Raw genomic sequence first — 8,934 nt, forward strand, 5'->3', positions numbered from 1 at the left:
CAAACAAATAAACATAATCCTTCACATACACAGAACCAATGACAAAAACCACATGATTATCTCAATAGATGCAGAAAAGGCCTTCAATAAAATTCAACACCCCTTCATGCTAAAAACATTCAATAAACTAGGTATTGATGGAACATATCTCAAAATAATAATAGCTGTTTATGACAAACCCATAGCCAATATCATACTGAATGGGCAAAAGCTGGAAACATTCCCTTTGAAAACCAGCACAAGACAAAGATGCTCTCTCTCACCACTCCTATTCAACATAGTATTGGAAATTCTGGCCAGGGCAATCAGGCAAGAGAAATAAATAAAGGGTATTCAAACAGGAAGACAGAAAGTCAAATTGTCTCGGTTTGCAGATAATATGATTGTATAGTTAGAAAACCCCATCATCTCAGCCCAAAATCTCCTTAAGCTGACAAGCAACTTCAGCAAATTCTCAGGATACAAATTCAATGTGCAAAAATCACAAGCATTCCTATACACCAATAATAGACAGAGAGCCAAAACATGAGTGAACTCCCATTCACAATTGCTACAAAGAGAATAAAATACCTAGGAATACTTACAAGGGATGTGAAGGACTTCTTCAAGGAGAACTACAAACCACTGCTCAAGGAAATAAGAGAGGACACAAACAAATGGAAAAACATTCCATGCTTATGGATAGGAAGAGTCAATATCGTGAAAATGGCCATTCTGCCCAAAGTAATTTATAGATGCAATGCTATCCCCATCAAGCTACCATTGACTTTCTTCACAGAATTGGAAAAAACTACTTTAAATTTTGTATGGAACCAAAAAAGAGCCTGTATAGCCAAGACAACCCTAAGCAAAAAGTACAAAGCTGGAGGCATCACACTAACTGACTTCAAACTATACTACAAGGCTACAATAACAAAAACAGCATGGTACCGGTACCAAAACAGATATATAGACCAATGGAACAGAACAGAGGCCTCAGAAATAACACCACACATCTACAACCATCTGATCTTTGAAAAACCTGACAAAAACAAGCAATGGGGAAAGGATTCCCTATTTAATGAATGGTGCTGGGAAAACTGGCTAGCCATATGCAGAAAACTGAAACTAGACCCCTTCCTTATACCTTATACAAAAATTAACTTAAGATGGATTAAATACTTAAATATAAAACCTAAAACCATGAAAACCCTAGAAGAAAACCTAGGCAATGCCATTCAGGACATAGGCATGGGCAAAGACTTCATGACTAAAACACCAAAAGCAATGGCAACGAAAGCCAAAATTGACAAATGGGATCTAATTAAACTAAAGAGCTTCTGCACAGCAAAATAAACTATCATCAGAGTGAACAGGCAGCCTACAGAATGGGAGAAAATTTTTTCAATCTACCCATCTTACAAAGGTCTAATATCCAGAATCTACAAGGAACTTAAACACATTTACAAGAAAAGAACAAACAACCCCATCAAAATGTGGGCAAAGGATATGAACAGACACTTCTCAAAAGAAGACATTTATGCAGCCAACAAACATATGAAAGAAAGCTCATCATCACTGGTCATTAGAGAAATGCAAATCAAAACCACAATGAGATACCACCTCATGCCAGTTAGAATGGTGATCATTAAAAAGTCAGGAAACAACAGATGCTGGAGAGGATATGGAGAAATAGGAAGGCTTTTACACTGTTGGTGGGAGTGTAGATTAGTTCAACCATTGTGGAAGACAGTGCAGCAATTCCTCAAGGATCTAGAACCAGAAATATCATTTGACCCAGCAATCCCATTACTGAGTATATACCCAAAGGATTATAAATCATTCTACTATAAAGACACATGCACACGTATGTTTATTGCAGCACTGTTTACAATAGCAAAGACTTGGAACCAACCCAAGTGTCCATCAATGATAGACTGGATAAAGAAAATGTGGCACATATATACCATGGAATATTATGCAGCCATAAAAAAGAATGAGCTCATGTCCTTTGCAGGGACATGGATGAAACTGGAAACCATCATTCTCAGCAGACTAATACAGGAAAACCAAACACCGCACGTCCTCACTCATAAATGGGAGTTGAACAGTGAGAACACATGGACACAGGGAGGGGAACGTCACACACCAGGGCCTGTCAGGGGAGTTAGGGCAAGGGGAAGGAGAGCATTAGCACAAATACCTAATGCATGCAGGGCTTAAATCCTAGATCACAGGCTGGGTGCAGTGGCTCATGCTTGTGATCCCAGCACTTTGGGAGGCCGAGGAGGGTGGATCACAGTGTCAGGAGTTTGAGTCCAGCCTGGCCAATATGGTGAAACCCTGTCTCTACTATAAATACAAAAATTAGCTGGGCGTGGTGGTGGGCACCTGTAGTCCCAGCTACTCGGGTGGCTGAGGCAGGAACATCGCTTGAACCCGGGAAGTGGAGGTTGCAGTGAGCCAAGATCACGCCACTGCATTCCAGCCTGGGTGACAGAGCAAGACTCCATCTCAAAACAAAAACAAAAACAAAAAAAACCTAGATGACAGGTTGACGGGTGCAGCAAATCACCGTGGCACATGTATACCTATGTAAGAAACCTGCACGTGCTGCACATGTATCCCAGAACTTAAAGTGTAAAAGAAAAAAAAAAAGTCTGGAGTTCTTTTACTCCTCTTGGTTGTTACAGATGTATACATAGAGTGTGTAAGCCTTCCTCTACCATTAGTCAAAATTCTGGGCCCCAGAGTGAAAGGAACCAAAAAATTAATGATGTTAACAAAAGTTAACATCATTGAGTGCTTACCATGTACTGACAACTACAAAGCGTTCTCCATGGATTATCTTGTTTTATCCTCATAAAACTTTATTAAGAAAAATTATTGTTCAGATTTTACAAATGAACAAACTAAGGTTAAGAAATGTGCTCAGGCTGGGCGCAGTGGCTCACGCCTGTAATCCCAGCACTTTGGAAGGCCGAGGCGGGTGGATCACCTGAGGTCAGGAGTTCGAGACCAGCCTGGCCAACATGGTGAAACTTCATGTCTACTAAAAATACAAAACTTAGCCAGGCATGGTTGCACTCACCTGTAATCCCAGCTACTCGGGAGGCTGAGGCAGGAGAATCGCTTGAACCTGGGAGGTGGAGGTTGCAGTGAGCAGAGATCATGCTGCTGCACTGCAGCCTGGTTGACAGAGCAAGACTCTGTCTCAAGAAAAATAAAAAAAGAAAAAGAAACGTGGCCAAGTTTACACAACTAGGGCATGATGGAATCAAGATCAAGATTCAAACTTGGGCACTGGGAGTCTAAAGTTTTTAATCACTGGTGTATTCACAAACTTTCAGCCAAACAGCAGACTAAGTTCATTGCTGATAACTAGCCCTGAACTATCCATCTCCCTAGCTTAGCTGTATCCTTAATCTCAAGGTTTCCTTAAAGACCTGCTGTTTGTCAGTAAAGTGGGTTGAAAACTAATGACTTAATAACTCATGTCAAGCAAATAAAAATTCATTAAGTACAGAAAAACAGCCTTTTACAAAAATGTCCCTCGTAATGAAGGCTATTTCTGTTGTGCTATAAGTTAAACATTTATTTTAAAAAATTATTATTGGCATTATGATCTATAATATGCTTAAATAATTGTAACAAAGAGTATTTGTTTTAAAGAATTTAGATGAGTAGAAACATTTAAAGGCCATAGTAAAAGGCAAAATATGTCAGTGGTAGATTCTATCACAGTATTTGATGCATAAAATGTGATAAGTAAACACTTGTAAAGAAATAAATAACTAAAAGAAACATACAAGGATATCAGAAGCCATATAACAGAGTTCTAGGTGAGCCAATGTAAACATCTCGGGCAATCATATATAGAAGGTACAGTATAAGCTTCTGAATAGGACAAACAACCATTCCTCCCCATTTCCCAGAGGAGTGGCAATTCTGAAAGTTGTTCAGGAAGCATACATGAGCAGAAGGATTTCCAGATTCAATTGCTCGTGGAAGTAATTAAGCTTACGTGGTCACAGATGGCCTCACAACACTAAGCTCTCTCCTTGCTCCTGTTCATATTAAAAAAATCTTGTTTTTCACTATGCTAATAATTTATTTTCACATGTAAATATTTACTTTAACCACCACTTGATTACATGAAACTAGGATAGGCACTGAAAATACAGAACTAAAGATGATCTGGATTATGAGAATATTGTTCACCTTTTACAAGAGATGTATTTCTCCAGGAAAAAGTCATTTTCTCATCGACCTATTAGTGCAGTGATCCAGTTCATGGTATCGTCTTGCCTTGCAGTGGAGAAATAGTCCAATTCAGTTTCCTCAACAATTGCTGTTGAGGTGAAGGCAGTTTCTTCTCGGTCCTGTGGGCTTGCTGGAACCTGGTAACAATCTAGTGGTCTTATCTCCATGAAGGCTGTCTGGAGTTACCCACTCCATTTTATGAGAATCAAAGAAGGGTGTACGAACATTTGTTGATCTGGCAAATTCACTCTGGTCACCAAGGATTGCAAAAATGGTTTTTACTCAGAGGCTATTTTTGCTATTAACGAAAATGCAGAATGAATTTCATCTTTTTCCTTCCCTTCACAGCTAAGGTTCTCGAAAGATTATTCTATAATTCTCTGTTCTTCTTTATCCCTTATTCACTCTTTTACCCTTACTAATGTCATTAACACCCCACCACTCTACTAAAACCACTCTTTCCTGAGGGCATTATTAACCCTCTAGTTACCAAATCAAATAAGTGCAACTTGGCTCCCTGGAAACATTTTCCACAAACACTACTTAGAACTCTCTTCCTCTTGAAATTCTCTTCTCTTCCATTGGTGTCTATGACAACACCTTTTAAAAAATTTCCTCTGACATCTCTGATTGCTCCTTCAACAAAGATCCTTTTAATGGTCTATCCTTTCAATGATGTTGTTCTCTAAGATTTCTTCTCCTGCATTAATTCCTTCCTGTTGTCTTCATATTCACCAGTATCACTTATATCCATTATCTATGTGGTCATATGCTGTAAAAAGACATTTCAGTCAACAATAGATCACACATACAACAGTGGTTCCCATAAGATTATAATGAAGCTAAAAAATTCCTATCACTTAGTGATGTCATAGCCATTGTAACATCATAGTGCAATGCATTATTCATGTGTTTGTGGTGATGCTGGGGTAAACAAATCTACTGCATTGCCAGTTATATAAAAGTATAGCAGATATGGTAGCACTCTAGGGTGACTATCATTAACATTTCATTGTATATTTTCAAATAGCTGGAAGAGCAGATTTTTGAATGTTCCCAACACAAATAAATGATAAATGTTTGAGGTGATGAATACGCTAATTATCTAGATTTTATCATCATACATTGTGTACATCTACTGAAATATTACTCTGCACTCCACAAACATGTATGATTGTGTGTTAATTAAAGATAATAATAAAGCAAAAAGACAAAAACAAAACAAAAAATGTATAGCACAATTATGTACGATACATAATACTTGATGATGATAAATGACCCTTTCTGGTATATGTATTTACTATACTCTACTTTTTATTGCTATTTTAGAATATAGTCCTTCTACTTCTTAAAGAAAAAGTTAACTGTAAAACAGCCTCAAGCGACTGCTTCAGGAGGTATCCAGAAGAAGGCATTGTTATCATAGGAGATGACAGCTCCATGCATGTTAATGCTCCTGAAGACCTTTCAGTGGGACAAGATGTGGAGGTGGAAGACAGTGATATTGATGATCCTCACCACGTGCAAGCTAGGCTAATGTGTGTGTTTGTGTTTTAGTTCTTTTAAAAGATTAACAAGTAAAAAAACAACACAAAACAAAAAAACTTCAATAGAAAAAAGCTACAGAATAAGAATATAAAGGAAGGATTTCTGTACAGCTGTACAATGTTTTTAAACAAACTTAGCTTAAGCTAAGTGTTATTTCAAAAGTGTCAGAAAGCTTAAAATTAAAAAGTTTATAAAGTAAAAAAGTTACAGTAAGCTAAAGTTAATTTATTGTTGAAGAAATAAAAATATTTTTATTAATTTATAATAGCCTAAATGTACAGTGTTTATAAAGTCTACACTAGTGTATGGTAATATCCTAGGCCTTCACATTCACTTACCACTCACTCACTGATTCACCCAGAGCAACTTCCAGTCCTGTAAGCTTCATTAATAGTAAGTGCCCTATATGGGTGCACCATTTTTAATTATTTTATTTTTTATTTTATTTTATTTTATTTATTTTATTTTATTATTTTATTTTATTTTTGAGACTGAGTCTCGCTCTGTTGCCAGGCTGGAGTGCAGCGGCATGATCTTGGGTCACTGCAACCTCCGCCTCCCAGGTTCAAACGATTCTCCTGCCTCAGCCTCCCGAGTGGCTGGGACTTCAGGCACGTGCCACCATGGCCTGCTAATTTTTGTATTTTTAGTAGAGATGGGGTTTCACCATGTTGGCCAGGATGGTCTCGATCTCCTGACCTCGTGATCCGCCCGCCTCGGCCTCCCAAAGTGCTGGGATTACAGGTGTGAGCCACTGCGCCTGGCCCATTTTTAATTTTTTATACCATTTTTTCACTGTTCCTTTCTATTTTAGATATGTTTAGATGCGCAGATACTTGTTATTGTGTTACAGTCACCTACAGTATTCAGTACAGTAACACGCTGTACAGGTTTAAAGCCTAGGAGCAACAGGTCATACCATACAGCCTAGGTGTGGAGAAGGCTGCACTATCTAGGTTTGTGTTAGTACACTCTATGATGTTCCCACAATGACAAAATTGCCTAACAACGCATTTCTTGGAATACATCTCCATCATTAAGCAATGCATAATTATATACCTAAAATTTCTCCTGAGCCTCAGCCCTTAATTTTCAACTACCTGCTAAGCATCTGTGTCTGGATATCTCACAGGTAATTTACACATACCAAGTCCTTAATTACACCAATTTTTGTGTGCGTCTTAAAAGGCCTTTATTTTTATTTGAAGTTTGTTTTTGTTTTTGAAGGATTTTTCTTGGGTATAGAATTTTATTTAGGTTGATGGTCTATTCCTTTATTTTTGTTATTTTTTAATTGACAATAATTGTATATATTTACTGTGTACAATGTGATGTTTTGATGTATGTATGCACTGTAGAATATGTTCTTTTCATGTCTTATCTCTATCTGTGGCACCCTCATCCACCCAACTCTCTTCCTTCCCTCTGTCTCTATTCCAAGGACCTACTGAGTTTATCCTGTTCTCTCTAATAGTTTCCCAGCCTCTCCATCTCTATTAATTTGGCCCAGTTTGGCCCTATCATTTCACACCTTGACATCCCCCTATTTGTTCACTTCCTTTTCCCAATCACTTAGACCATAGTAGATGCTCCGCTTTCTGTTGGTGGAATGATTACACTGTAACAATCTCTCTCCCCACTTCTGCCACCCAGTGTCTCACAATACTTCCTCCAGGGATCTAGTTAAGAAACATAAGTTGTTCATGCCACATCTTCCCCTATGTCAGATCCTCCCACTGCCTCCAATATCCATTTTAAATTTTGGTCCTTTTAGCATGGTACCCAAAGCACTGCCTGCCCTTCTCCCACCTCATCTTCCACCTGCCCAAATGCACCCCAACTGCTGCCATGTGAGATGACCCACAGTTCCATTAACCTTTAAGGCCCTCCATGCTTTTCTCTTTGATTAAGGCGCCATTAGAACACGATAAAGTGCAGTCTTTAAATGCATGTTATCAGTGGATTTTTGGCAAGTGTATACATCCATGTGGACACCACTCCAATCAATATGTAGAACATTTCCTTCATCCCAGAAAGTCCTGTTTCGTCCTCACCAGTCAATTCTCCCACCCACATAAGAGGGTAACCATTATTCTAATTTCCATGACCATGTATCAATTTTCCTCTGTGCTTCTTTTGCTCAACAGAATGTCTGTGGGATTCATCCAAGTTGATGTGTATACCATGTGTTCATTCCTTTTATTGCTGAGTAGTATTCCACTATCTAAATACACCACAATTTATGTATGTGCTGGTGAACATTTGAGTTGCTCCCAGTTTAGGGTTATTATGAACAAAATTGAAATGAACATTCTTATGTAATCTTTTTGTGAACATAGTTTTGTTTTGTTTTTTTGGCACAAATACCTAGGAAGGGAATTACTATGGTTCACTTAATAAAAATGTACCTATTGCTTTTCCAGCCATGTGTCCACATACTCAGCAACATTTGGTGTTGTCAATATTTTGTTTTAGTTGTTCTAGTGTATGTTAAGCAACATTTCATTGTGGTTCTGGAAGTTTCATTTTCTTCTCAACTAATGATGTTGAACACCTTTTCAGTGTAATTGGCCACTGGTATATTGTCTTTTGGGAAATACCCCATTCATGTTTTTACCCTTTAAAAATGGATTGTCCTTTTTATTATTCATTTGAGAGAGTCATGTATGTACTCAGAATACAAGTTCTTTACCAGATATATAACTTTTTCCAGTCGTTGACACATCTTTTTATTTTCTTAATGATGATTTTTGAAGAGCAGAACATTGTAATATATCATCTTTCATCTTTCTTTATACCTTTTTAATTTGTCTGTGCAGAATTCTTTACTTGGGAGGAACTTCCTCCCTGTCTTTGAGAATTAGTTGACATATGATTTGGTAATCACTGATGCTCCTGTTATTTTTTTCCATGAGCTTATGACTGACTTGAGAGCATGGGCTGTATTTTATTTAGCGTTTTATGTCTAGTAGAATACCTACCAAGTAGCAGGTGTTCAATGACTAGAGTCAATTAAATTTCATCAATTCACTTCTTTGCATGTCATTTTCTCTTCCTAAAAACAAGGTAAACTCCCCATTTACTGCACAGGCATGTGCAAGCAATGAAAGCTTTTAAGGTTGTGAAAATTGAGCTTTTTATTGT

The 8,934-nt window shown here is 37.8% G+C and overlaps 1 long non-coding RNA gene across 1 annotated transcript in view; it reads right to left on the reverse strand.

The window, feature by feature from the left end:
• LOC107984580 (uncharacterized) overlaps nt 1-5,649 on the reverse strand; it is a 29,934-nt gene extending 24,285 nt beyond the window's left edge. Inside the window, exon 1 of the long non-coding RNA XR_001749845.1 lies at nt 4,201-5,649. This is a non-coding gene — a long non-coding RNA (uncharacterized LOC107984580). The remainder of the gene's footprint in view (nt 1-4,200) is intronic.
• Nucleotides 5,650-8,934: the final 3,285 nt, after the last annotated feature.

This window comes from Homo sapiens, chromosome 13 (genome assembly GCF_000001405.40).
Source record: "Homo sapiens chromosome 13, GRCh38.p14 Primary Assembly".
Lineage (NCBI taxonomy): Eukaryota > Metazoa > Chordata > Mammalia > Primates > Hominidae > Homo > Homo sapiens.